Below are 27,908 nucleotides of genomic sequence, written 5' to 3'. Positions count from 1 at the left end.
TGCCTAGTTGCTAACCTCTTCCTTTTCCCACAGAAAGCAAAGGAGTCCAACACAGAGTAGAGTGGTAACATTTATTAGGAAGGAGAGACTTCAGTTAGACTCCCATGTCTCACACAGAAGAAACAGATGGTAACTGCCATTTCTTTCTTTCTTTCTTTCTTTCTTTCTTTTTTTTTTGAGATGGAGTTTCGCTCTTATTGCCCAGGCTGGAGTGCAATGGTGCAATTTCGGCTCACCTCAACCTCCGCCTCCCGGTTTCAAGAGATTCTCCTGCCTCAGCCTCCTAAGTAGCTGGGATTACAGGCATACGCCACCATGCCTGGCTAATTCTGTATTTTTAGTAGACACGGGGTTTCTCCATGTTGGTCAGGCTGGTCTTGAACTCCCGACCTCAGGTGATCCGCCCACCTCGGCTTCCCAAAGTGCTGGGATTACAAGCGTGAGCCACTGCGCCCAGCCAGTAACTGCCATTTCTAAAGAGGAAAGAGAGCAGGCAGAGGGTCCTGACTCCCAGGGGACAGGTAGTTCAGCTGGACAATGAGGGAGTATGAGATTAGGGTGGATAAGGACACTGCTCACCACCCTCCACTGAAGTTCAGTGGCTAAAATACTGCTACACCAGCCAATCAGTGGAAGGCTATCTTGCTCTCCAGGGGACACTTGGGATGTGGTTGGTGGCAGGAAGAAAGAATGTCATGCTATCTCTTGCTGCTCCTCCGGGTTTCTTTGCCGTTACTAACAGGGTTGCTGGAAGGGCCAGGCGGGCCTGCAGGTGTGTGGTTGGGCTGGCTTCGAGTGATTCGGGTGCTGGGTGGGTGGGAGGGAGTATGAGGGGGATGTGGGCCACCACCGGGACCTGGTGGGGCACTCAGTCCATTCCCATTCTGGTTCTCAGAGGCTAATTGTGGGAGGAGAAGAAACAAAGGAATTAGTTAACATAGGAGAGGGGTCCATCCCAAGGCCTGTCTCCATGCCCCAAAGAGTGGCACAGTCTTCACCATGCACAACTGCATCTTAATGCCAACTGGACCAAATGCAAAAGACTGTGGGCTGCGAGTATGAATGGAGCTCCAGAGAAGACTTACACGATCATTTAGGAAGTTGCTACATGAACCTCGGTACGGTATTTTTCTCTTGTAGTTATCTCACTATTATTGGGAATCAGACCTAGAATTAGCTGTTTAGTTCTAGGCTCAGGGACCTCTGACAAAAATGCCCCTTTACTGGGCCAGGCGTGGTGGCTCACACCTGTAATCTCAGTACGGTGGGAGGCTGACGCGGGTGGATCACGAGGTCAGGCATTCGAGACCAGCCTGGCCAACATAGTGAAACCCCGTCTCTACTAAAAATACAAAAAATTAGCTAGGTGTGGTGGCAGGCGCCTGTAATCCCAGATACTCAGGAGGCTGAGGCAGGAGGGTCGCCTAAACCTGGGAGGCAGAGGTTGCAGTGAGCCGAGATTGCACCATTGCACTCCAGCCCGGGTGACAGTGTGAGACTCCTTCTCAATTAAAAAAAAAAAAAAGGCCCCTTCACCAAAAGTGATTATAAAACTGGAGAAGCATGGCAAGGGGAAGGGCCTGAAGTCTCTGCGTTAAAATATGAGGCACTTAAAAAAAAGGTGTGTATGAGTGTACGATAATGATAATGTTCATTTTAGAAAATATAGATAACCATCAGTGAAAAGATTATTATTATTTTTTATTTATTTATTTTTTTGAGTTGGAGTTTCGCTCTTGTTGCCCAGGCTGGAGTGCAATGGAGCGATCCCAGCTCACTACAACCTCCGCCTCCCAGGTTCAAGCAATTCTTCTGCCTCAGCCTCCTGAGTAGCTGGGATTATAGGCATGAGCCACCACGCCTGGCTAATTTTGTATTTTTAGTAGAGATGGGGTTTCTCCATGTTGGTCAGGCTGGTCTTGAACTCCCAGCCTCAGGTGATCCACCCACCTCGGCCTCCCAAAGTGCTGGGATTACAGGCGCGAGCCACTGCGCCCAGCTAGTGAAAAGATTATTACACGTAATCTTACCCACCAAAGCTAATAACAAGTCACATTTTTGTGTATATAAATATTTATTTTTTAATTTTTACTGTTTTAGAGATGAGGTCTCACTTTGTCACTCAGGCTGGAGTGTAGTGGTGTGATCATAGCTCACTGCAGCCTCAAACTCCTTGCTCAAGCAATGCTCCTGCCTCAGCCTCCCAAGTAGCTAGGATGATGGGTGTGCACCGCTGCGTCTGGCTTATATTTTCAATGTTTGAAGCCAGGTGTGTGGGATGATTTGTTTGAGCTCTCACAACTCTGGACATACCACTGTCATTGAACTTAACCATGGCGTATTATAATCATTATCTCTCTCCTGTATAAACCACAAGCCCCTAAAGGCAGGTAGTGTGTTTTATTCCACGGCAAATAGTAGGTGCTCTAGAAACATTTGTTATATGAAGGCAGAGGTTTGCTTCTTGCATACAGTAGGGACTATGAACCCTAAATGGCATGGAAGTTATAGCCTAGTGGTTCTTTTTTTTTTTTTTTTGAGAAAGAGTCTCACTGTCGCGCAAGCTGGAGTGCAGTGGCATGATCTCAGCTCACTGCAACCTCCACTTCCCAGGTTCAAGCCATTCGCCTGCCTCGGCCTCCCAAGTAGCTGGGATTACAGGCTCCTGCCACCACATCTGGCTAATTTTTGTATTTTTAATAGAGATGGGGTTTCGCCACGTTGGCCATGGCTGGTCTTGAACTCCTGACCTCAGGTGATCTGCCAGCCTTGGCCTCCCAAAGTGCTGAGATTATAGGCATGAGCCACTGCGCCCAGCCAGTCTAGTTCTTAAACCATATCTCTACTGAACCCTGCTGCTCCACTGGACTAAGATATCTGCAGCCCATGGCTGGGCGCGGTGGCTCACGCCTGTAATCCCAGCACTTTGGGAGGCTGAGGTGGGTAGATCGCCTGAGCTCAGGAGTTCGAGACCAGCCTGGGCAACATGGTGAAACCCCGTCTCTACTAAAATACAAAAAATTAGCAGGGCATGGTGGCGTGCACCTGTGATCCCAGCTACTCAGGAGGCCGAGACAGGAGAATCACTTGAACCCAGGAGGCAGAGGTTGAAGTGAGCCGAGGTCACACCATTGCACTCCAGCCTGGGTGACAGAGACTCCATCTCAAAAAAAAAAAAATTAGCCGGGCATGGTGGCAGGTGCCTGTAATCCTAGTTACTTGGGAGGCTGAGGCAGGAGAATCACTTGAACCTGGGAGGCGGAGGTTGCAGTGAGCCGAGATCACGCCATTGCACTCCAGCCTGGTTGACAAGAGCGAGACTTCGTCTCAAAAAAAAAAAAAAAAAAAAAAAAAGGGGTCTGGGAGAATTGGGTGAAGGAGGATACACTGAGAAAAGAGAGATTTGGAAAAGGAATGAGGGAAATGCATCTTTCTAGGCTGAGGAGAGTGGGAGAGCTAGGAGGACCAGTGGATAGAAGGGAACAGATTTACCTGGAGAGGCAGCAGAGGGTCCAGTGGTAGGCTGGGAAGCTGAAGGGTTGCTGTCGTTCTGCACCTGAAGGCACAGATTACATATTCAGATCCTGCTCCCTCCCATGCTTCTTGTCTTGATCTGCCCTCCTTTCCCACCATTGTGGCCACAGGACTCACCGCCTTGTTGGGTGCCTGCTGGGTGCTGTACTCTGGGTTTGGCTCACTGAAGTTAGGAACCTCAGAATAAACCATACAGAATCTGCAAGGGAAGAAAGTAGCTAAAGCCTTGAATTCATCCTCTGGGCCACTGCTGGAGGCCTCAGAAAAGTCCAGATAGGTTCGGTGTGGTCACTCACACCTGTAATCCTAGCACTTTGGGAGGCAGAAGCGGGAGGATCACTTCAGCCCAGGAGTTTGGGACCAGCCTGGGCAACATGGCGAAACCCCATCCCTATAAAAAATACAAAAAAATTAGCTGGGTGTGGTGAAGCACGCCTGTAGTCTCAGCTACTTGGGAGGCTGATGTGGGAGGATCACCTGACCCCGGGAGGTCAAGGCTACAGTGAGCCCAGATCATGCCACTGTACTCCAGCCTGAGCGACAGAGACTGTTTCTCAAAACAAACAAACAAACAAACAGAAAAAGTCCAGAAATGAGGCTTGGACTGCACACCCTATGCTGCCTCCTTGCAAACCCCTTTGCCCTGGTGCTTCTTCATCCCAATCCCCAAGACAGCACTTACTCTCCAATCTTCTGCAGATCACCCCCACGGCCAGTATATAGTGTCAGACAACCTTTGAAAACTGAAGCGTACCTATGGGAGGCAAAAAAAGCAAAATTCAGTACTCAGAAGTGTTATAGGGACTGTTAACCCCACTCTTGATTGTTGTTGCCTTTGGAAGGCCAGAAGTCACCAGCTGACTTACCCTTTGGTGAGCCGGATAATGTCCCCAGGCTGGATCAGATTGCCAACATCGTCCCAGACAGAGATATTGATGCTGCCTGTTTTGTCCGCCACTTTGCAGGTCCGAACCTCATGCCCGTCCTTTGTCTTGGTCACTCGGCCTGAACGGAACAGATAAATCGAGGTGGGAGGATGGTCAAATAAATGGAGTGGTATCTCTCAGAAGGATGAGATGTGGATATTGGTGGAATGAGGGAAAAGGTGTACAAACAGGGGAAAGCCCAAATCCCTGGGGCATAAAGGGTTGGGATTGTGGAAGGGGTGGTGGAGGGTGGAGGTGGGAGTTCAGGGGCCAGCACCATGGAGAGGGCCCTGAGTGGAAAGAGGCCCGCGTCGCACAGGAGGTCTAGATCTGGCAAGAGTTCTATCTACCCTATACCTGACTGCAACTTTCTGTCCCAGGGTCGAAGAGATTGGGAGTGAGGAGTGTCTTGCAGCTTGCCTTGCCATCCCCATAGCAAGTTAAGAACGCAGACAGCGTTCTTCCCCTCCTGCCCCCGACCCCCATCCCGCGAACCCGCCACCCCAGTATAGACACCTGTCTCCAGCACAATGAAGATAAGGTTCAGATTCTTGAGCCCAGGCTTGATATCCTTCACAAAGGTCTCCGTCGTCATGCTGCCTGAGCCTCGGCACCCCACTGGATGGGGAATAGAGGATGAAGGCTCAATGCTTGGATCCTTTGCCCCCATGCTCCACTTCCCAAGGCCTACCTACCCCATTAGGCTGGGGTCAGGCAGCCTCAACCCCTCTAACCCTTCTAAAAGATTAAAAAAGAACATCCCCGGAGGCCTCCAACTTCAGGATCAGAATTTGGGGGTCTCTGGACAGGCTGCTTTGGGGCTGGAAGGCCCCCTGCCGGGATGCTCTTTTAGTCTCAAGCCGCGAAGTGGCGGAGCCGACGTAGACAGGGGTAGGGAACCCGGTGCACAGCCAGGGAGTAGAATCTTACTGGCCAGATCTTCCGGAACCCTCATCCCGACAAGCCGGGACTCGGTCCATCCCCTCCCCTACCCGCAGCCCACCACCCACCCAAGCCAGCCGGCAGGACTGTGCACGCCGCTGAGCAGCCCGCAGGGGGAGCCACAGGCTCCGCTGCCGCCGGATGCTGCCCCGTGGAACGCGGGAGTGCGGACATTCCCGGAAGTTTCCCCCGGCTGGCCTCCTCCGGCCAATCAGCACCGCCCGGGCGCGCCCTGCGTCCCGCCGCCTGCCCTGCCCAGCCAATCGGGATCAGAGACTCGTGCGCCGCGAAGGGGGCGAATTTCAGGTATTAAAGGAACCTTGGAGATAGTTGGCTCTGTAGGGGGAAAAATCCACCACTAGAAGGCGCACAGGGCCCCCAGTTTTCCTTAACTTGGCTAGGGAGAATGCACTTAGGTTCTAAGACGTTTCTTTCCAAAGAGTGACACAATGGGAAAAGGAGCAAGGGCTTCGGAATCTGGCGGACAAAAGTTTGAATCCTGGCTCAATGCTTCACTTCATTTCTCGACTATTTAAACATATGTAATTCCAATTCCGCAAGGCGCGGTGGCTCACGCCTGTAATCCCAGCACGTAGGGAGGCATAGGCTGGAGGATAGCATGAGTCCAGGAGTTCCAGACCTGCCTGGGCAATATAACGAGACCCCATTCTCCACAAAAAGGGAAAAAAAGACAAAAAATATGTAATTCCATCTTACGAGAAAACGGAAGTTATATTTAAAAAAGTGCCTTGCACACAGTAGGCACACACGGTTTCCTCCCTTTTTATTGCTCTAACCGTTATCTTTGTTCCTGATTTGGGGTTCTCATCTTTAATGCACTACCCAGCTTGGTCAAGGTCTCTGGGAAAAGTGGCATTTACACCAGAGACAAAAGGCAGGCTCACCCTTCTTGGAAGAAATGGAACCTGCGACAAAGAGAGAAACATTGTTAGTCCCTTTTTTTTTTTTTTTTGAAACAGGGTCTCGCTGTGTAACCCAGGCTGGAGTGTAGTGGTGCAATCTTGGCTTACTGCAACCTCCCACCACAGCCTCCGTAGTAGCTGGTACTACAGGTTCGCACTACCACCCTCGGCTAATTTCTGTATTTTTTTTGTAGAGACAGTTTCGCCATGTTTCCCAGGCTGGTCTCGGACTCATGACCTCAAGGGATCCGCCCACCTCGTCCTCCCAAAGTGCTAGGATTACAGGCGTGAGCCGCTGCACCTGGCCATACTACTCTTCCCCGCCCCGCCCCACCGCTCCACCCCGGCAAAGGAGTCTTGCTCTGTCGCCCAGGTTGGAGTGCAGTGGCGCGATCTCGGCTCACTGCAATGCAACCTCTGCCTCCCGGGTTCAAGCGATTCTCCTGTCTCAGCCTCCCGAGTAGCTGGGATTACAGGCGCCCGCCACCACGCCCGGCTACTTTTTTTGTATTTTTAGTAGAGACGGGGTTTCACCACGTTGGCCAGCCTGGGCTCAAACTCCTGACCTCGTGATCCACCAGCCTCGGTCTCCCAAAGTGTTGGGATTAAAGGCATGAACCACCGCGCCCGGCCATACTACTCTTATCTTACTTATCTCAGAGTCCCGCTAGAAGACAGCAGAAAGGAGGCCTGAAACTTTAGTTCCTTTTGGGACCTGTCAAATTGTCCACAAAAGGTAGCTAGCTCTGTATTGTTGTGTATAAACAAATTACATAAAGATATGTGTGTATGTGTGTATTAATGTGCATTAGCATTTGCTTAGCCAATGTCCACAATAAATACCATACTATTTAATACCAGATTAGTCTAGGAAGTCATGTGATTGTAATGCCTTGGTTTGCTTAATTAATCCCTTATCTGCTCACGGAGCTCTTTAGGCTCCACATTGACTTCCCTTGGATCCCACGTTCTCTACCGCCCACATCCCCAACACCACGGTGTTGTAAGCTAAGGAAATCAAACCCCAACTCAGGAAGAGGGAAATTTTTTCTCCCTTCCTTCCTCTTAGGTGTTTCAGGGAACTCCACAAGTGTTCGGGGAGCCATCGTGGATACGGCAGGAGAGCGCCTGGGAGAGAGGCAGACAACCCGTTGAGCACCCCAGATCTAAGCTTTGCGGTCAGACTCCCTCACTCCCCACCCCGCGGCCGCCTTGTTAACTGCAATATCCATTCCCATGACAGGAGTCAAGGGGTTACGAAGCTCTGGGATGCTGACCAGGGCTCTGGAAAAGGGAGAGGGGCCGGACCCGCAGCAGGTCACGCTGCAGGCCTGCCTCTCCGCAATGATCTCGCAACAATCTGCGTCAGCTCTAAGACACAAGTCACCTGCACCCCTCCAAAGCGAAGCGTGGCCGGCCAGGCCCACACGTTTTTGCCGGGAAGAACATAGAGTTCTCCCTCCTAAATGGCTACATAGTCCTGGCTGGGACCATATAGACTCTAGACTAGACTTCCTGTCTAGAGTGGAGGCCTGGCCAGCCTTCGTCCCTCCTCGTAGGCAGCTCCTGGCTGCTGGTGTAGGGGCTGAGTTAAACAAAGAGGCGGGGTTTGGTGACGAGCTTCCGCCGGGTTGCGTAGCAGCGGTGGGCGGGGCAAAGGATCCGTCTGAGGCGGCGACGAGTGGTAGGAGTCTTCTTTCCCCTCCTTCCCCTTTCCCTTCCCTTCCCGGGAGAGGCTGGGACCCGGCACCAGGGCAGTACTGTGGCCGCTGCGGCCTCAGCTCCGACTGGGTCAGGTTGCGGAGACTCCAGGCCGCTTCCAGGGCGGTGCGTACTGCGCCTGCGCGATCTTCCACCTAAAAGAGGGTGTGGGAGGGGAGGAGGTGATGTCCCAGGGGTATTGGGGCGGGGGGTTGAAATAACTGGGGTTCAGGAGGAGGGATGGTGGTAGAGATAAAAATGTGAGAAGGGAGCAGCACTGGCGAGGAGTCGGGAGGTGAGAAGGGGGCTCTGGAGAACGGGTTGTTGGGGAAGGTCCATTGGAATAGGGGAGCTTTGAGAAGTGCGGGAGGGGGCCGGGGCTAGCTGGAGGACCGGCACCTGCAGAACTGGGGGAACAGCGTGGTGTTTAAATGGGCAATGATTGACGGGCCAGAAGGGGAGGAAGGGAGCATTCCGGGGGCCAGCCTGGGCAGGGGCGGTGGAACCTAAACCCCCGCCCTCGAAGCGCCATAGCTTGGCTCCTCTCCCATGCCTTGTCGTTGGCAGCCTTGTCCTCTCATTCCTTCCCCGCTCCTCACCCCCTCCCAGCCCTCCATGAAGGAATCTCACATTCTTCACATCCCTGCGCTTGGTTTGCAGCCTGGCTCTCTGGCAGGGTTCACACACCACACACTGGAAGGCCTTCCCTAACTCAGGACTTTGGGAAATTGGGTAGTGGGGAGGAGGGGGCTAGAGGAAGAGCAGAAAGCCAGGAGGGGTGAAGGCGTTTTGCTTGAGGGATTGACAGACTGCTTCCCCGTTCAGAAACTTCATTTCATTTAATAGCAAGTGGGGCTGTTATTGAGGCCACTGTTCTTGGGGACTGGCCCGTGATAGTGTTATCCCTTTCTATACAGGGGTTTTAGAGTCTGACAATAGGGCAAGAGACTGATAGTGTTGTTGGCTGATAGTTTTGCCCCAAATAAGAATGTAGTGGACTAGTGGTAGGGAATGTGAGTGATGCAATGTTAAGCCGACCGACCTGTGGCTAGCCCTGCCTTCTAGTAAAAAGAAGGAACAAGCTTTTGTCAAGCATTTCCTCTCCGACTCTCAGTACTCTAAATTTATTTTGCATTCTTGTTTTTTTTTTTTTTTGAAACGGAGTCTCACTCTGTCACCCACGCTGGAGTGCAGTGGCACAATCTCGGCTCAGTGCCACCTCTTTCTGGGTTCAAGCGATTCTCCTGCCTCAGCCTCTTGAATAGCTGGGATTACAGGTACCTGCCACCATGCCTGGCTAATTTTTTGTATTTTTAGTTGAGATGGGGTTTCACCATGTTGGCCAGGCTGGTCTCAAACCTCTGACTGTAGCCGGGCGCGGTGGCTCACGCCTGTAATCCTAGCACTTTGGGAGGACGAGGCGGGCGGATTGCCTGAGCTCAAAAGTTCGAGACCAGCCTGGGCAACACAGTGAAACCCCGTCTCTACTAAAAATATAAAAAATTAGCCGGGGCATGGCTGCATGCACCTGTAGTCCCAGCTACTTGGGAAGCTGAGGCAGGAGAATTGCTTGAACCCAGGAGGCAGAGGTTGCAGTGAGCTGAGATTCCACCACTGAACTCCAACCTGGGCAACAGAGTGAGACTCTGTCTCCCCACACCCCCCGCCAAAAAAAACAAAACAAAACCCTGACCTCAGGTGATTGGTCCATCTCGGCTTCCCAAAGTGCTAGGATTACAGGCATGAGCCACTGCACCCAGCCTTATTTTGTATTCTGTTGCTACAAATAATCTTACTTGAGGATAACAGTATTCAGTATCCTTTCATATTTATTTATTTATTTATTTATTTATTTATTTATTTATTTTTGAGACAGGGTCTCACTCTGTCACCCAGGCCGGAGTGCGGTGCTGCGATCTCTGCTCACTGCAACCTCTGCCTCCTCGGCTCAGTTGACCTTCCCCCTTCAGCCTCCTCAGTAGCCGGGACTACAGGCACTCACGCCATCATGCCCGGCTAATTTTTGTATTTTTTGTAGAGACAAGGTTTCACTATGTTGCCCAGGCTGGTCTCAAACTCTTGGACTCAGGTGATCCACTCACTTCGGCCTCCCAAAGTGCTGGGATTACGGGTGTGAGCCACTGCGTCCAGCCTCCTTTCGTATTTATTATTTCATTTGATTTGCAGACAGTATGTATAAGGGGTGCGCGCGTGTATATACACATATATACACACACACACATATATACACCTTATATTACGCCGGGCGCAGTGGCTCACGCCTGTAATCCCAGCACTTTGGGAGGCCAAAGGTGGTGGATCATATGAGGCCAGTTTGAGACCAGCCTGGCCAACATGTTGAAACCCTGTCTCTACTAAAATATAAAAATTGGCTGGGCGCGGTGGCTCACGCCTGTAATCCCAGCACTTTGGGAGGCCGAGGCAGGCAGATCACGAGGTCAGGAGATCAAGATCATCCTGGCTAACGTGGTGAAACCCTGTCTCTACTAAAAATAAAAAAAAAAAATTAGCTGGGCGTCCTGGCGGGCGCCTGTAGTCCCAGCTACTTGGGAGGCTGGGGCAGGAGAATGGTGTGAACCTGGGAGGCGGAACTTGTAGTGAGCCGAGATCGCATCACTGCACTCCAGCCTGGGTGACAGAGCCAGACTCCGTCTCAAAAAAAAAATAAATAAATAAATAAATAAAATAAAAATTAGCCTGGCATGGTGACACATGCCTGTGATCCCAGCTACTCAGGAGGCTGAGGCAGGAGAATTGTTTGAACCTGGGAAGTGGAGGTTGGAGTGAGCTGAGGAGATTGCATCACTGCACTCCATCCTGAGCGACAGAGGAAGACTCCATCTCAAAAAAAAAAAGAAAAATAGGCCAAGCATGGTGGCTCACGCCTATAATCCCAGCACTTTGGGAGGCCGAGGCGGGCGGATCACAAGGTCAGGAGATTGAGACCATCCTGGCCAACATGGTGAAACCCCGTCTCTACTAAAAATACAAAAATTAGCTCAGCATGGTGGCACATGCCTGTAGTCCCAGCTACTTGGGAGGATGAGGCAGGAGAATCGCTTGAACCCGGGAGGCAGAGGTTGCAGTGAGCCAAGATCGTGCCACTGTACTCCAGCCTGGCGACAGAGCAACACTTTGTCTCAAAAAAAAAATAACATATATATATATAATAAATATGTATATATTATATATACCTTATATTAATATATAAGGCAGGTATCATTTTCCCTACTTGACAGTTGAAGCAACAGAAAAACTACAGCAGGGTTACTTGACTTGTTTAAATGTGTAGATTTGGGGGTGGGCGCAGTGGCTGGTGCCTGTAATCCCAGCACTTCGGGAGGCTGAGGTGGGAGGATTGCTGGAGCCTGCCCAGGAGTTCAAGACCAGCCTGGGCAACATGGCAAAACCCCATCTCTACCAAAAATACAAAAATTAGCCAGGCATGGTGGTGTGTGCCTGTGGTCCCAGCTATTTGGGAGACTGAGGTGGGAGGATTGCTGGAGCCTGCTGGGAAGGCGAGGCTGTAGTGAGCTATGATCATGCCACTGTACTCCAGCCTGGGCAATAGAGCAAGACCCTATCTCAAAAAAATAATAATAATTTATGTGGGCCAGGCGCGGTGGCTCACACTTGTAATCCCAGCATTTTGGGAGGCTGAGGCGGGTGGATCACCTGAGGTCAGGAGTTCGAGACCAGCCTGGCCAACATGGTGAAACCCCGTCTCTACTAAAAATACAAAAATTAGCCGGGCATGGTGGTGGGTGCCTGTAATCCTAGCTACTCTGGAGGCTGAGGTAGGAGAATCACTTGAACTCGGGAGGCCAAGGCTTCAGTGAGCCAAGATCGCGCCATTGCACTCTAGCCTAGGTGACAGAGCGAGACTCTATCTCGAAATAATAATAATAATTTATGTGAAAGCACTTTGGAAACATTAAAGCAGCATCCCCAGCCTTTTTGTGGAAGATAGTTTTTCCACAGATGGTGGGCGAGGGGATGGTTTTGTGATGGAACTCTACCACCTCAGATCATCAGGCATTAGATTCTCATAGGGAGTGGGCAACCTAGATCCCTCGCATGGGCAGTTCACAATAGGGTTCATGCTCCAATGAGAATCAAATGCCGCTGCTGATCTGACAGGACATGGAGCACAGGCCTTAATGCTCGCTTGTTTCCTGCTCACCTCCTGCTGTACGACCCGGTTCCTGATAGGCCACAGTCTGGTACTGGTCCATCTGGGGATTTGGGGACCTCTGCATTAAAGCATCATCCTGTACACATAATGTATTATGGATCTATGCATTTTGCTTTTTTTTTGAGTCAGAGTCTTGCTCTGTCGCCTAGGCTGGAGTGCAGTGGCGCGATCTTGGCTCACTGCAACCTCCGCCTCCTGGGTTCAAGCAATTCTCCCTGCCTCAGCCTCCTGAGTAGCTGGGATTACAGGCATCTGCCACCATACCCGGCTAATTTTTATATTTTTAGTAGAGATGGGGTTTCGCCATGTTGGCCAGGCTCATCTCCGACTCCTGACCTCAGGTGATCCACCCGCCTCGGCCTCCCAAAGTGCTGGGATCACAGGCGTGAGCCATCGCAACCTGGATCTATGCATTTTGTAGTCACAGATTTGGAATCATTATTACTGGTAGTTATGTGCACTGAATAAAAGAATCTTAAATCTCCAACAACTCCTCTACTTTTCCTCTTGTCTTTTTTTTTTTTTTTTTTAAGACGGAGTCTTGCTGTGTCGCCCAGGCTGGAGTGCGGTGGCGCGGTCTCGGCTCACTGCAAGCTGCAGCTCCTAGGTTCACGCCATTCTCCTGCCTCAGCCTCCCGAGTAGCTGGGACTACAGGCGCCTGCCACCTCGCCCAGCTAATTTTTTGTATTTTTAGTAGAGACGGGGTTTCACCGTGTTAGCCAGGACGGTCTTGATCTCCTGACCTCGTGATCCACCCGCCTTGGCCTCCCTAAGAGCTGGGATTACAGGCGTGAGCCACCACGCCCGGCCTCTCTTGTCCTTTTCTTTCCCCCTCCCAGCTATGTTCAAATCTACTGGACCCCGTGTGTGTGCTTCCTTAGCTGGTGAGCTCCCTCCTTAGAAGGTAGTCTTATTTGCCTAGCACTGAAAACTGTAGTGCTTAATGGAGTTGTCTCATCCTCCCCAACCAACTGCCAGATCCATCTGTCCAGTCTCCTTGCCAAGTGGAGGTAGTTCTCCTGACTCTCCTTTCTCTTCCTTGTTCCTATTACTAGAGTACTCCTGATTGTGACATCACATTCATCCCCTGGGCGATGGAGCTTGTCACTGGGAAGGAATACTCAGTCGGAGAATAGCCAACAAGATGGGTTACTGGGAGAATCTCTTCAGTGGCACTGAGTGGAGGCATCAGGGGGTTGGAGCCTTGTGAACAGGGAACCTGCCCCCCAACACTTGGAAGGTAAAGAGCTTTGATTCAGAATCCCATTCCAGGCCTCAACCCTCTTCTCTGTCGCTCGGGATTCCTTCTGCCCTTGAAAGTCCAGTTCTTAAAACTTCTTTCTGCAGAAAGCTTTCTGTGATTAATCTGTACCATTTGTTCTTTTTTGTATATTTACAACTTACATAAATTATTGACTTTTACTTGTTAATAATTTGCTTAATACGTTTATGTGTTTTTATGTGTTTTTTTTCCTATGTACTCATTGGGCTCAAGCCTACACCTTAGTTTGAGGACAAGGATTATGTGTTTCTTCTTTTTTTTTTTTGAGACAGAGTCTTGCTCTGTCGCCTAGGCTGGAGTGCAGTGGCATGATCTCAGCTCACTGCAACCTTCACCTCCTGGGTTCAAGCAGTTCTCCTGCCTCACCCTCCCAAGTAGCTAGGATTACAGGTGCCCACCACCATGCCCAGCTAATTTTTGTATTTTTAGTAGAGATGGGGTTTCACCATGTTGGCCAGGCTGGTCTTGAACTCCTGACCTCAGGTGATCCACCCACCTCGGCCTCCCAAAGTGCTAGGATTACAGGCGTGAGCCACTGCGCCCAGCCAGTTGTTTACTGACCTCTTCTTTGGGTTTGACCTTTGGGAGCCCAAAGAAGGGGCATGGCGCCATTGCCGCTGTTTGAGTCCTTGCTCTTTTGGACCTCTCTTTTTTTTTTTTTTTTTTTTTGAGACAGAGTCGTGCTCTGTCACTGGGCTAGAATACAGTGGTGCAATCTCGGCTCACTGCAACCTCCGCCTCCTGGGTTCAAGCGATTCTCCTGCCTCAGCCTCCCGAGTAGCTGGGACTACAGGTGCGCACCACCACGCCTGGCTAATTTTTGTATTTTTAGTAGAGACGGGGTTTCGCCATGTTGGCCAGGATGGTGTTGATCTCTTGACCTCATGATCCGTCTGCCTCAGCCTCCCAAAGTGCTGGGATTACAGGCATGAGCCACCATGCCCGGCCCTCTCTTCTCTTCTTTATCCCCATCACCACCACCACCTAAGTTCAGACTCTTACCGTCACTCTCCTGACTTAGATGTTCTTCCGGTCTCCAGTTTCTCCCCTGTTAACATACTGATTCTAAAATGGAACTATTATCACATTGTTTTTTAAGTCCTTCAGTGGCTCTCTCATACCCTTCAGAATAAAGTCCAAAATCCTCACAGACTTTTCACAGCATGGCCCTTGCTTGCCTCTCCAGCCTTGTCTCTTGACAGGCCCTCCCTCCCACCTCTCAGGTCAGCCTTTTCTTGAATCACTTGAAATTCTCTGAACCTATCATATGCCCTCTTCTGGGCATTTGGATGTGCTATTTTATGTGCATAACACCCTAATGCCCTGCTCCCCCAACATTTAGCTGACTCTTGCCCTACAGGACACGTTTCTGGTGACGCCCAGTCCTGGAAAACTTGTCAAAACCACCCTCTGCTTTCAGCCTGGGTTAGGTATTCATGTCTCTTGTCCTCATAAGGTCCTGTCTCTACTCTGAGTATTTATCACTTTATATTTTAAATGTGTGCTTATATAATGTCTTCCCCCATTAGAATTACATTTCTTTTTTTCTTTTTTTTTTAAGGCAGAGTCTTACTCTGTTGCCTAGGCTAGAGAGCTGTGGTGCAATCTCGGCTCACTGCAGCCTCTGCCTCCTGGGTTCAAGTGATTCTTGTGCCTCAGCCTTCCAAGTAGCTGGGATTACAGATGTGCATCACCACGCCCAGCTAATTTTTGTATTTTTAGTAGAGCTGGGTTTTCATCATGTTGGCCAGGCTGGTCTTGAACTCCTGACCTCAGCTCATCTGCCTGTCCCGGCCTCCCAAAGTGCTGGGATTACAGGCGTGAGCCACTGTGCCAGGCCTTAGAATTAATTTTTTTTTTTTTTTTAGAGACTGAGGCTCGCTGTGTTCCCCAGGCTGGAGTGCAGTGGCGCGATCTCGGCTCACTGCAACCTCTGCCTCCTGGGTTCAAATGCTTCTCCTGCCTCAGCCTCCCGAGTAGCTGGGATTACAGATGCGCATACCACACCCAGCTAATTTTTGTATTTTTAGTAGAGACAGGGTTTCACCATGTTGGCCAGGCTGGTCTTGAACTCCTGACCTCAGGTGATCCGCCTGCCTCGGCCTCCCAAAGTGTTGGGATTACAGGCGTGATCCACTGCACCTGGCCAGAATTAAATTTCTTGAGTCAGCTTCCACCGAGCCAAATGACTGCTGCATAGTAGACTCCCAGTAAATATTTGTTGGATAAATGAATGGATCTTGGCAATGAGTGTATGTTTGTCACATATTTGTAGGCTTCTTCTGAACTGGCCTCTTTTTCCTGTTGTCCTTTCAGGACCTGGGTTTCAGTGATGAGACATGGGGTATGATGTAACCCGTTTCCAGGGGGATGTTGACGAAGATCTTATCTGCCCTATTTGCAGTGGAGTCTTGGAGGAGCCAGTACAGGTGAGTTGGTCTGATGGCAGGTTTGGTGGGGCAACAGGTAGCAGTGGAACTAGTAGAAAATATTCATGGGCAGCGGGACCCATGGTGAAGTCACTGTGTTCTTCTCTCCACCCTCACCCAATAGAGATTTAGGTCAAAGGAGTAATGGTGACTACAAGAATAAGGCCTTCCAGAATCAATCTAGAGGTGGATGCCACAGAGATCCAGTGGTTCAGATTTTTTTCTGAGGTCACTCTGAAAGATTTCTCCTGTAAAACAGTCAGCTGCTTGTTTCTGTCTTGTGATAGTAGCTGGGTAGCTTCCTTTCCTCTACAGGAACTCTTACTAGGTTCCATCTTCCTGTCCGTGATTGAACTTCTGGACTCTCCTAATAAGTTCTCTCTGCATTTTTATGATGTAGTGCTTCAGGTAATCAGCCAGGCTCCCTGCAGGCCTCTTCTACCTGCCTACTGTCTAACAAATAGGAAGGCTGGGCACAGTGGCTCACACCTGTAATCCCAGCACTTTGGGAGGCCAAGGTGGGTGGATCACGAGTTCAAGAGCCATCCTGGCCAACATGGTGAAACCCCGTCTCTACTAAAAATACAAAAATTAGCTGGGCGTGGTGGCACACACCTGTAGTCCCAGCTACTCAGGAGGCTAGACAGGAGAATTGCTTGAACCCGGGAGTAGGAGGTTGCAGTGAGCCGAGATTGTGCCACTGCACTCCAGCCTGGGTGACAGAGTGAGACTCCATCTCAAAAAAAAAAAAACAAAAACAAATAGGAAGTGGGGAACTGTATGTACTGACCTATTTTTTTCCTGGGATCTACTGAAAAGACCAGCTTTTGATACAGCCATGCACTCTGCATTTTGATGTGAAAGCTGCCACCTTCAATAGGTCATTTCTCTGCCAGCCTTGCCAGACCAGAGTCAGTTGTATCATCCTGGGGCAAGTATGAGGAGAAGCTCACGATTACCAGGCAAGTACAATGAGTGAGGTGAATCCTTAAGAGTTGTATTCATGGGACAGCATCCTCCAGGATCCTTATTGCCCTCATTCTGTAAATACCAATTAATCCTTTCTCTTTCCTGGCTATCTAGAGATTATCACATTTTCCAAACCAGGACACTAGGCAATGAGGTTTCATGGCCCTTCCCCCATTCACTGCTCACCTAACTCCCAGGGGCTCCCCTTGAGCCTTTATTTTTTCTCCCAGTACTACTCCAAAAGGAGTACTGATGCCTTGAGCTGAATAAAATTCAGACTGCATTCCAATGGCAACCAACTCTGGACCTGTCTTCTTTCTAGGCCTTTGCAGTCTGCTGCCATTAGAGGCATATTAGATGGGTGTGGAGCAAGTCATCAAGTAGTAGTGTCAAGAGGTCACAGGGTGTGTCAGGTTCCCTCCTCACCCTGGCAGGGCCTTGTCTGTTTTCTGGCACTATCATTTTAGGCAAGTCACTTATGGAAAGGTGAGTCGTAGTTGGTGACAGTCTAGTCAGAAGCCACCCATCTACCTCCAGGCTTTATCTTCTGAGGAGCAGAGCAGGCAACCCTCATGATGCCAGGTTCCCAGACACATTTCTAAGGTTAGAAGGCTCCTGCTAGGGATGCTGATTTCCCCACATCATAATTATTTATTTTTTGAATAGGTGAAAAATGAACATAGTTCAGAAATCAAAAGGTATACAGTGAGAATTCTCACTTCTGTCTTTATTACTGTGCACCTAATTCCCCCACAGATAACTATTTTTATTAGTTTATTTGGTATCCTTCCAGTGTGTCTTAAGGCAGATATAAGCAAATATGAATAGATGTCTGCATATATATGTATTTGTGTATACATATGTATATATGAATATATCTGTGTTTCACCATGTTGGCCAGTCTGGTCTTGAACTGATCTCAAGTGATCTGCCTGCCTTGGCCTCCCAAAGTGCTGGGATTACAGGCATGAGCCACCATGCCCGGCCTTATTTAGCTTTGTTTTGTTTTGTTTTTTTGAGATGGAGTCTCACACTTTAGCCTAGGCTGGAGTGCAGTGGCATGATCTTGGCTCACTGCAAGCTCTGCCTCCCAGGTTCACGCCATTCTTCTGCCTCAGCCTCCTAAATAGCTGAGACTACAGGCACCCGCCACCACGCCCGGCTAATTTTTTGTATTTTTAGTAGAGACAGGGTTTCGCTATGTTAGCCAGGATGGTCTCAATCTCCTGACCTCATTATCCGCCCACCTCAGCCTCCCAAAGTGCTGGGATTACAGGCGCCATCCACCATGCCTGGCCTAGCTTTCTTACATTGAATTTTTGCCAGTAAATATGTCCTCCTCCTCTCTAAATCTATCATCTGAATTATCCTTCAAGACCCATATCAAATTCTGTCCTCTTCATAAATACCTGCCGTGATTGAGCTAGCCTGAAAAGACCTCACCCTCCTCTGGACATTTTTGGCAATTATTGTGTATGCAATCCAGATGGCAATTAATAATTGGCTGCCTTGTGTCATCTGTCCTATTGTCCTAGAATATCATTTGTATCTCTTATTGTTATATAACTTTTTACTTGTTTGTCTTGTTTCACAACTCATTTTTAATCTTGAGCACAGGGAATATATATATATATATTTATTTATTTATTTTGAAACAGGTTCTGGCTCTGTCACCCAGGCTGGAGTGCAGTGGTGCAGTCTTGGTTCACTGCAACCTCCGCCTTATGGGCTCAAGCCATCCTCCATCCTCCCACCTCAGCCTCCTGGCTAGCTGGGACTATAGGCACGTGCCACCAGGCCCAGCTTTTTTTTTTCGAGATGTATTGCCCAGGCTAGAGTGCAGTGGTGTGATCTTGGCTCACTGCAACCTCCACCTCCTGGGTTCAAGCTATTCTCCTGCCTTAGCCTCCTGAGTAGCTGTGATTACAGGCATGCGCCACCACCCCTGGCTAATTTTTTTATTTTTAGTAGAGACAGGGTTTCACCATGTCGGTCAGGCTGGTCTTGAACTCCTGACCTCATGATCCGCCTGCCTCGGCCTCCCAAAGTGCTGAGATTACAGGCGTGAGCCACTGCGCCCGGCCTATGCCCGGCTAATTTTTGTAATTTTTGTAGAGATGGGGTTTTGTCATGTTGTCTGGGATGGTCTCAAACTCCTGAGGTCAAGCAGTGTGCCTGCCTTAGCCTCCCAAAGTGCTGGGATTACAGGCATGAGCCACCGTGCCCAGCAGGAAACGTATCTTAAGCCTGTCCCCTACAATGCCTTGCCCGTAGTAGATCTATACTTTGCTGTGACCCAGTGGACCTCTTGTCGTAGAGGCTGCTCAAAGGCTTGATTGGCTTTGTAGAGTTATATCATATCCAGGCTCTTAGGTCCTGCTAATTCCCTTGCGCCCCTTTTGCCTTGTTCTCTCTTCTAGGCACCTCATTGTGAACATGCTTTCTGCAACGCCTGCATCACCCAGTGGTTCTCTCAGCAACAGACATGTCCAGTGGACCGTAGTGTTGTGACGGTCGCCCATCTGCGCCCAGTACCTCGGATCATGCGGAACATGTTGTCAAAGCTGCAGATTGCCTGTGACAACGCTGTGTTCGGCTGTAGTGCCGTTGTCCGGCTTGACAACCTCATGTCTCACCTCAGCGACTGTGAGCACAACCCGAAGCGGCCTGTGACCTGTGAACAGGGCTGTGGGTGAGATTTGTTCCCTTCTGCCCCACATGGATAAGGGCCATCTCATTTATGCCCCTGTCTCTGGCTGCCCTCCTCACTAGCTGAGGAGGTCTCTTTGGCATGTTGGCAAGGAGTATTCTTAGCCTCCTTGGCTTCCTGCTCTAAGATCTTACTTTCTTGCTGCTTTTCCAACTATAATCATTTTGCTCTTGCTTTAACAAAAGAAGGGGCACAGCAATTTAGTAAATTTGTGTAATAACATTAAAGCTTGATTGACTCTATTCTTCCCTTTCAGTCCAATACTACTTTCCGTTTGTCAGGTTGACTGCTATAATTGCCAGCCTTCTCATATTTCCTCTTGCCCTATTTTTTTATTTCTGTGGGTTATGAAATATTCGACTAAATGTTGATAGCTGAAGGGCATGTTAGCTCACACCTGTAATCCTAGCACTTTGGGAGGCCGAAGTGGGCAAGTCACTTCAGGCCAGGAGTTCAAGACCAACCTGGCCAACATGGCAAAACCTTGTCTCTACTAAAAATACAAAAATTAGCCAGGTGTGGGGCCGGGCGCGGTGGCTCACGCCTGTAATCCCAGCACTTTGGGAGGCCAAGGCGGGTGGATCACGAGGTCAGGAGATTGAGACCATCCTGGCTAACACATTGAAACCCCGTCTCTACTAAAAATACAAAAAACTAGCCAGGCGTGGTGGCAGGCACCTGTAGTCCCAGCTACTTGGGAGGCTGAGGCAGGAGAACGGCATGAACCTGGGACGGGGAGCTTGCAGTGAGCAGAGATTGAGCCACTGCACTCCAGCCTGGGCAACAGAGCGAGACTCCGTCTCAAAAAAAAAAAAAAAAAATTAGCCAAGTGTGGTGGTGCTCGCCTGTAATCCCAGCTACTCAGGAGGCTGAGGCATGAGAATCACTTAAAACCAGAGGTAGAGGTTGTAGTGAGCTGAGATCGCGCCATTGCACTCCAGCCTGGGTGACAGAATGAGACTCTGTTCCCCCTAACTAAAAAATAAAAAGAATGTTGATAGCTGGGGCTGTGAATATAGGGCTTCTCTGAAGGAATAAGTGCACAGGCAGAATCTGTAGGAGGAAAAGGAGAGCTGTGCAGTAGATAAAAACAGTGTGTCAAAATAAATAAATAGGCCCCGTGCGGTGGCTCACGCCTGTAATCCCAGCACTTTGGGAGGACGAGGCGGGCGGATCACCTGAGGTCAGGAGTTCAAGACCAGCGTGGCCAACATGGTGAAACCCCATCTCTACTAAAAATATAAAAATTAGCCAGGTGTGGTGGTGGGCACCTGTAATCCCAGCTACTCGGGAGGCTGAGGCACAAGAATTACTTGAACCCATGAGGCGGAGGTTGCAGTGAGCTGAGACCGTGCCATTGCACTCCAGCCTGGGTGACAAGAGTGAAACTTGGTCTCGAAAAAAAAAAAAAAAGGCCAGGCGCGGTGGCTCACGCCTGTAATCCCAACACTTTGGAAGGCCGAGGGGGGCAGATCACGTGAGGCCAGGAGTTTGAGACCAGCCTGGCTAACATGGAGAAACCCCATTTCTACTAAAAATACAAAAAGTTAGCCGGCCATGGTGGCGCGCACCTGTAATCCCAGCTACTCGGGAGGCTGAGGCAGGAGAATCGCTTGAACCTGGGAGGCAGAGGTTGCGCTGAGCTGAGATCATGCCATCGCACTCCAGTTTGGGCAACAAGAGCGAAACTCCGTGTCAAAAAAAATAATAAAAATACAAAATAAAATAAATTTAAAAAATAGATAAAACACTGTGTCTTGATTGGGGAAAGAAATTTAAGGAAAATAGACAGCAAAGGGGCAAGTAGGAAGCTTGGACGAAGAAAGTGAAGGGAATAAACAAGAGGGAGGCCTGAAATGAATGTTAGAAATTTTGGGTAGGACAAAATCTACTTAGCAGTTATCTGCCACAGAATAGGCCATTTGCATACATGTCCCAGGGATCACCTCTGTTCTGCTCTTTCCCCACCCTGGTCTGCAGCCTGGAGATGCCCAAAGATGAGCTGCCCAACCATAACTGCATTAAGCACCTGCGCTCAGTGGTACAGCAGCAGCAGACACGCATCGCAGAGCTGGAGAAGACGTCAGCTGAACACAAACACCAGCTGGCGGAGCAGGTAGGCCCCAAGACACGGGGGAGAACATATCCCTCATATGCAGATAACTGCCTGCCTGTGGGTAATAAAAACCAGTTGTGAACACACAGACCAGTGCTTACACTTGTGAGCCTAGATGAGTGGATATTCTGCCTGTGGCTTAGCAGGGAATCAGATTGGAGCTCTCCTTGACTTTTCTTCATCCCATTCATAGCATTAATTCACCTACCAGTTATCACATGCCTCCTCTGTGAAGGCACATTTGTAAGTACTAAGGAGACAGCTGTGAGTGAGACAGTCTTATCCCTGTCTTCCTGAAGCTTACAAACTGGTTGTTCTTCAGATCTCTCAGTTGCCCTCATTCTTGGATAAACTTTTGTCTTTTTTCTGCTGTCTGCCTTAACCATTATTCCTGTTCTTCTTCCCCACAACAGAAGCGAGACATCCAGCTGCTAAAGGCATACATGCGTGCAATCCGCAGTGTCAACCCCAACCTTCAGAACCTGGAGGAGACAATTGAATACAACGAGATCCTAGAGTGAGTGTCACTCAGGACGTGGAGTGATTTCATGTCCTGACAACAAGGCCTGAAAGGAGGAAGAGCAGGAGAGTAGCAGAAGGAGGGCATTGGAGAGCTGGGCTGGGGGTCACTGCTTCTCAGATATTGGCATTAAGGACAGGGGCAGAGGAGAAGAGGATAACCCTTAGCTCCACTACAGGATGTCTTATGTGTTTGGGTGGATGGAGGGAAAGCCTGCCCAAGGATGCACTTTATCCAGAATTAGGTGAGTACCCATGTACAAAGCCCTGTATTAAAGGCTGTGGAGTGCTAGGAGGGCCAAAAAGAAATAGAAGATATCGTCCTGTCTTCAGGTAGCTTACAACCCAGAGAAGAGGAGGCAGAGTGCAAGTCCAGGAAAGTGATCTCTAAAATGCAGCAAAAACAAGCGAAGTATACAAGTGAAGTCTAAGATCTCTTTCAGTTCTGGAGTCCTATACAGTTCATAGAGTAAACTGTAAGTGTGAATCAATATATACAGGGCAAATAGTGCTGAGTGGGACATAGGATAGAGGAATAATTGTTTTATTCACTAAACATAGAGCACTAACTGTGTTAGGCGCTATATGTGCTAAGTATTGGAATTTCAAAGAAAAGTAACAGAGACAGAGTGCAGACTTGTGGAATTTAATCTGGTGAGTAACATGTGGTGACTCAGTTGGGACCAAGTGGGGAAAGATTTGGGGTTTCTGAGCCAATGATGGAAGGAAAGAAGGAAGAATAGGTAAGCTGAGTGCAGAGTGGGTAGTTATTTCTATTAGCAGAAAAAGCCAATACAGAGAAAGGAGATGAGCTGGAATGACCATCTTTAACCACCTCCACACAGGTGGGTGAACTCCCTTCAGCCAGCAAGAGTGACCCGCTGGGGAGGGATGATCTCGACTCCTGATGCTGTGCTCCAGGCTGTAATCAAGCGCTCCCTGGTGGAGAGTGGCTGTCCTGCTTCTATTGTCAACGAGCTGATTGAAAATGCCCACGAGCGTAGCTGGCCCCAGGGTCTGGCCACACTAGAGACTAGACAGATGAACCGACGCTACTATGAGAACTACGTGGCCAAGCGCATCCCTGGCAAGCAGGCTGTTGTCGTGATGGCCTGTGAGAACCAGCACATGGGGGATGACATGGTGCAAGAGCCAGGCCTTGTCATGATATTTGCGCATGGCGTGGAAGAGATATAAGAGAACTCGACTGGCTATCAGGAAGAGATGGAAATCAGAAAATCCCATCACTCCAGCAGCTGGGACCTGAGTCCTACCCACCATTCTTAATACTGTGGCTTATACCTGAGCCACACATCTCCCTGCCCTTCTGGCACTGAAGGGCCTTGGGGTAGTTTGCTCAGCCTTTCAGGTGGGAAACCCAGATTTCCTCCCTTTGCCATATTCCCCTAAAATGTCTATAAATTATCAGTCTGGGTGGGAAAGCCCCCACCTCCATCCATTTTCCTGCTTAGGGTCCCTGGTTCCAGTTATTTTCAGAAAGCACAAAGAGATTCAATTTCCCTGGAGGATCAGGACAGAGGAAGGAATCTCTAATCGTCCCTCTCCTCCAAAACCAGGGAATCAGAGCAGTCAGGCCTGTTGACTCTAAGCAGCAGACATCCTGAAGAAATGGTAAGGGTGGAGCCAAATCTCTAGAAATAAGTAGTGAGGCCGTTAATTGGCCATCACTGATGGCCCTTAGGGAAAGACTGGACCTCTGTGCCAAGCAGTATCCCTGTTCAGCCCACCTTAAAGGTGTAGGCACCCACTGGGTCTACCAGTATGCAGGTTGGGATACTGAAAATTTCCAGATGAGCTCTTCTTTCCTACAAGTTTTCATAATTAGGGAATGCCAGGGTTTAGGGTAGGGGTTAATCTGTTGGGGGTTGATGTGTTTAGCAAGAAGCTACTCCTAGCTTTTGCTAAAATATGGTTGGCACTGCCTCTTGTGGCACAGGCCATAATTGTTCCATAGACCCCTCTCTAGCCCTGTGACTGTAGTTAGTTACTTTGATAATTTTCTTTGGCCATTGTTTGTTTATATTTCACAAACTCCACCTACTGCCCCCCCCCCTCTTTTTTTTAAGAATGGCCTGATCATGGCTATCTCAGCCACATTGTTGGCAATTTAATTTATTTACTTCCTTTTTTTTTTTTTAAGAAAGGAAAAAAGAAAAAAAAATCAAACTTGAAACTTTTCTTTTGATGTTCCTATTGTGGGGGTTCTGGATAGGGTGGGACAGGGATGGGGGTGTGTTTTATATTTTTTCCTTTTCAGCACAACCTTTGGCTTTAATATAGGAAGAGCCAAGGGAGTCCTCGGCTGAACTTACGATATCTGCCCCAAACCTCTGTAACCCCAACTGAAATGAGGAGCTTCCTCTCTTCCTGTGAAGGATATGACAGTCCAGCATCGATGCCTGTGCCCTCTGGAAAAATTTCCTCCTAGCCCTTCCAGGGCCTTATCATAAAACTCTGGATTTAGAGTATTCATTTTGAAGGCAACTCCCCCTTCCCCAAGTTTCCTTGGAGCTGTATAGCTGGGTTCTAAGCTTCACCATGCAAATCAGAAATTTTATCTCTAAGTACAGGCTGTGCCGTGTCTCACCCACACCCCCCTGGGGACTTCAGTTCCATTTCAGGTTACCTGGGGTATACCTTGATCCCTAGAGTGACTGGCAGAGTAAGAGAAGGGGAGAGATAATAGGTGTGATTATTTTAATATGGAGGTGGGAGTGTGGTTGGAGATAGAAAGGCTCCTCCCCACCATGTAATGGCTTCCTCTCAGAATTTTATTCCAGGCTAGCTTGCTGCAGGTCTGGGTAGTTGGATCATGGCTCCACTGGGATTGGGGTGGAAAGCTTGAGGGGAGTAGGGTTCCAGCTCTGGGACATTGTGCTCAGGAATTTGAAAACGCTGCTATACTTACTCTGGTTACTACATTTCTTCCACTCCCCTTTCCCCTACCTGCCTTAACCAAGGCTCATACTGTCCTGTCCTTACCCTCAGATGGAGCCAGGAAGCTCAGTGAAAGGCTTCCCTACCCTTTGCACTAGTGTCTCTGCAGGTTGCTGGTTGTGTTGTATGTGCTGTTCCATGGTGTTGACTGCACTAATAATAAACCTTTTACTCAACTCTCTAAATTCTTCAGCATTACTCCCTTTCTTGAGAAGGTTTCCCCTCTGCTTTTGCCTTTCTCTCACCTTAATTCCCTTTCTTCCTTACTTTGTTACCTACCCTTATCTTAGTGCTAACTTCTCTTTCAGGAGGATGTCTGGGAGTAGTGTGCACTTCACAGCTGCTTTCCCATGTACCCTCCTGCATTCTTCCCTCCTATCTCCTGTTCTGTAGCAGCCAAAGCTCTCTAGTGATCTGAACTGTGTGCTTCCCAGGGTCTGCCTTTATCCTAAATTCCATGTCTTCCCTGAGTGGTCCTGAGTTTTTGGGATAATTTCTACAGAAGATATGTATATATCTTTTTCCTTTGTCCCACAAGCAACTTTGCTTTAGAATCTAGAATTCCTTTGCAGGCAGAGAAGTCTCTACCTCCCAGTGTTTCCTAGCTAAGAACGTAAATGTGAGGAGGGAAATGTACTTGCAGAGGTTTCATAATTATTTACTTATAAAAATAGTCTTCATAGCCGGGCGCGGTGGCTCACGCCTGTAATCCCAGCACTTTGGGAGGCCGAGGTGGGTGGATCACAAGGTCAGGAGTTCGAGACCATCCTGGCTAACACAGTGAAACCCCGTCTCTACTAAAAATACAAAAAATTAGCCGGGCGTGGTGGCAGGCACCTGTAGTCCCAGCTACTTAGGAGGCTGAGGCAGGAGAATGGCGTGAACCCGGGAGGCAGAGCTTGCAGTGAGCAGAGATTGGGCCACTGCATTCCAGCCTGGGCGACAGAGCAAGGCTCCGTCTAAAAAAAAAAAAAAAAAAAAAAGTCTTCATAGGCCGGGCACGGTGGCTCACGTCTGTAATCCCAGCACTTTGGGAGGCCAAGGTGGGTGGATCACAACGTCAGGAGATCGAGACCATCCTGGCTAACATGGTGAAACCCTGTCTCTACTAAAAATATAAATAAATTAGCCGGACAGGCGCCTGTCCTCCCAGCTACTCAGGAGGCTGAGGCAGGAGAATGGTGTGAACCTGGGAGGCGGAGCTTGCAGTGAGCTGAGATCACGCCACTGCACTCCAGCCTGGGCAACAGAGCAAGACTCCGTCTCAAAAAAAAAAAAAAAAAAACCAGTCTTCATAAGTATTTGCTGCTACCTTTCCCTGTCATAAGAAAAAGGATAGCCAGACATGGTGGGACGCCACTATGATCCCAGCTCCTTGGAAGGCTAAGGCACAAGAATCGCTTGAACCTGGGAGGTGGAGGTTGCAGTGAGCTGAGATCATGCCACTGCACTCCAGCCTGGTGACAGAGCAAGAGCCTGTCTCAAAAAAAAAAAAGAAAAGAAAAGAAAAAGGGATATCTTTTCCTCCTCCCAGAAGTTTGTTTTAAATTTGAGCATTTATCATGCACCTGATGTAAACCTAATAGTACTCTTGATACTCTAGTGGCTTGAAAAAAAAAAAAAAGGCATTTCTGTGCTGAGTCTGCGCTTCTATGCACACAAGGTATGTTTATAAAATACTGATAAGCATGTCACAGTATAGAGCATAAGAGGCAATGTATGTATCCTAGTGACATTAGCAGTGCTTTTCCCCCCTTAAACTCCTTTAAAATTACTTTTAGAACTTGCTGCTCATTCTTGTGAATGTTATGAATGGTGTCATATTGTCCTTTTACAGAAGATACGATTTTTAGAAACAAATATTCATTGAATGTCTGCCCTGTGAGATACTCACTAGAGTGAACATGAGGAGGCTTATGTAGCAAAATGGCACCTACCTGCAAAGAACTTAGTCCCTAATGGAGATGAATATATAATAAGGGATCATAAATGTGCTAAGTGGATTTACTAGTAATATGTGAGCCAAGGACGATAAAGCTCCTGATTCTGATGGGTATCAGGAAAGGCTTTTCAGGAAGTGTTACTTGTTATAGGTCAGAGGTCAGCAAACTACAGGTTACAACCCCACTGCCTGCTTTTGTAAAAAACTTTATTGGAATACAGTTATGCCCACTTGTTTATATATTGTCTGTGGCTGCTTTCACATTACAACAGCAGGGTTAAGTAGCTGGAACAAAGCCTAAAATACTTGGTCTTTTACAGAAAAAAATTTGCCAACCTGTTCTAAACTTTTAAGGTCAGGAGAACTGGGGGAAGGAGGGAGTAGAAAGAACACTGTCACCCAGACTGGAGTGCAGTGGCACCATCATATAGCTCACTGTAGCCTCAAACTCCTGGGCTCTAGTGGTCTTCCCACTTCAGCTTCTGGAGTAGCTGGGGCTACTGCACCTGGAATTGTCTTAATCTGTTTTAATACTAGTAAAATTTTTTTTGTTTCATCTCTTTCAGTGACTTTGATACACTGTCTTAATTTTTTTTTTTTTTTTTTTTTTTTTTTTAGATAGGGTCTGGCTCTGTAGCTGAGGCTGGAGTGCATGACGTAATTTTGGCTCACTGCAACCTCCACCTCCCAGGCTCAAGTGATCCTCCTACCTCAGCCTCTTAGGTAGCTGGGACCACAGG

The 27,908-nt window shown here is 48.8% G+C and overlaps 2 protein-coding genes across 12 annotated transcripts, besides 7 other annotated features; one reads left to right on the top strand and one right to left on the bottom strand.

The window, feature by feature from the left end:
* On the bottom strand, positions 58-7,897 carry NABP2 (nucleic acid binding protein 2). Of its 6 annotated transcripts, XM_047429533.1 has the most exons (8): positions 7,713-7,897; positions 6,308-6,328; positions 4,977-5,078; positions 4,401-4,539; positions 4,217-4,288; positions 3,652-3,733; positions 3,493-3,556; positions 58-898 (listed from the first exon to the last, which is right to left on the bottom strand). In XM_047429533.1, the coding sequence occupies exons 3-8, from the start codon at positions 5,053-5,055 to the stop codon at positions 699-701; spliced, it is 636 nt and encodes a 211-aa protein (XP_047285489.1). In that variant the 5' UTR covers positions 5,056-5,078; positions 6,308-6,328; positions 7,713-7,897; the 3' UTR covers positions 58-698. The 6 variants fall into 6 exon arrangements, with proteins under 6 accessions (XP_047285489.1, XP_005269206.1, XP_047285488.1 ...); XM_005269149.6 differs by lacking the exon at positions 6,308-6,328; XM_047429532.1 differs by lacking the exons at positions 6,308-6,328; positions 7,713-7,897 and adding an exon at positions 6,200-6,297.
* Positions 5,482-5,721: a silencer, noted in NCBI's record as "silent region_4551". NCBI's record gives its function as "represses an Ori minimal core promoter by ATAC-STARR-seq in GM12878 lymphoblastoid cells {active_cell/tissue: GM12878}" and the evidence as "EXISTENCE:reporter gene assay evidence [ECO:0000049][PMID:35858748]".
* Positions 6,164-7,097: an enhancer, noted in NCBI's record as "H3K27ac-H3K4me1 hESC enhancer chr12:56616599-56617532 (GRCh37/hg19 assembly coordinates)". NCBI's record gives its function as "activates a minimal SCP1, AML or CMV promoter by ChIP-STARR-seq in primed H9 embryonic stem cells {active_cell/tissue: H9 hESC(primed)}" and the evidence as "EXISTENCE:reporter gene assay evidence [ECO:0000049][PMID:30033119]".
* Positions 6,453-6,747: an enhancer, noted in NCBI's record as "tiled region #8924; K562 Activating DNase unmatched - State 1:Tss". NCBI's record gives its function as "activates a minimal TATA promoter and a strong SV40 promoter by Sharpr-MPRA in K562 cells {active_cell/tissue: K562}" and the evidence as "EXISTENCE:reporter gene assay evidence [ECO:0000049][PMID:27701403]".
* Positions 7,098-8,032: an enhancer, noted in NCBI's record as "H3K27ac-H3K4me1 hESC enhancer chr12:56615664-56616598 (GRCh37/hg19 assembly coordinates)". NCBI's record gives its function as "activates a minimal SCP1, AML or CMV promoter by ChIP-STARR-seq in primed H9 embryonic stem cells {active_cell/tissue: H9 hESC(primed)}" and the evidence as "EXISTENCE:reporter gene assay evidence [ECO:0000049][PMID:30033119]".
* Positions 7,579-7,798: an enhancer, noted in NCBI's record as "active region_6482". NCBI's record gives its function as "activates an Ori minimal core promoter by ATAC-STARR-seq in GM12878 lymphoblastoid cells {active_cell/tissue: GM12878}" and the evidence as "EXISTENCE:reporter gene assay evidence [ECO:0000049][PMID:35858748]".
* RNF41 (ring finger protein 41) lies at positions 7,943-27,733 on the top strand. Of its 6 annotated transcripts, NR_040053.2 has the most exons (9): positions 7,990-8,152; positions 13,299-13,483; positions 15,842-15,954; positions 16,774-16,916; positions 19,344-19,615; positions 21,614-21,749; positions 22,163-22,266; positions 22,602-22,744; positions 23,114-27,733. NR_040053.2 is itself a non-coding variant. In NM_194358.3 (8 exons), exons 5-8 carry the CDS (start codon positions 19,467-19,469, stop codon positions 23,463-23,465), a joined length of 741 nt encoding a protein of 246 aa, NP_919339.1. In that variant the 5' UTR covers positions 7,990-8,152; positions 13,299-13,483; positions 15,842-15,954; positions 16,774-16,916; positions 19,344-19,466; the 3' UTR covers positions 23,466-27,733. The 6 variants fall into 6 exon arrangements, 5 of the variants coding, with proteins under 5 accessions (NP_919340.1, NP_919339.1, NP_005776.1 ...); NM_194358.3 differs by lacking the exon at positions 22,602-22,744; NM_194359.2 differs by lacking the exons at positions 16,774-16,916; positions 22,602-22,744 and having other exon boundaries at positions 7,943-8,009; positions 23,114-27,408.
* Positions 8,019-8,068: an enhancer, noted in NCBI's record as "active region_6481". NCBI's record gives its function as "activates an Ori minimal core promoter by ATAC-STARR-seq in GM12878 lymphoblastoid cells {active_cell/tissue: GM12878}" and the evidence as "EXISTENCE:reporter gene assay evidence [ECO:0000049][PMID:35858748]".
* Positions 21,733-21,782: a silencer, noted in NCBI's record as "silent region_4550". NCBI's record gives its function as "represses an Ori minimal core promoter by ATAC-STARR-seq in GM12878 lymphoblastoid cells {active_cell/tissue: GM12878}" and the evidence as "EXISTENCE:reporter gene assay evidence [ECO:0000049][PMID:35858748]".
* Positions 27,734-27,908: the final 175 nt, after the last annotated feature.

The sequence above is a fragment of the Homo sapiens genome, chromosome 12 (genome assembly GCF_000001405.40).
Source record: "Homo sapiens chromosome 12, GRCh38.p14 Primary Assembly".
In the NCBI taxonomy this organism is placed as follows: domain Eukaryota; kingdom Metazoa; phylum Chordata; class Mammalia; order Primates; family Hominidae; genus Homo; species Homo sapiens.
Note: the sequence above shows the minus strand (reverse complement) of the source record. Positions and strands in the feature narration are given on the sequence as shown.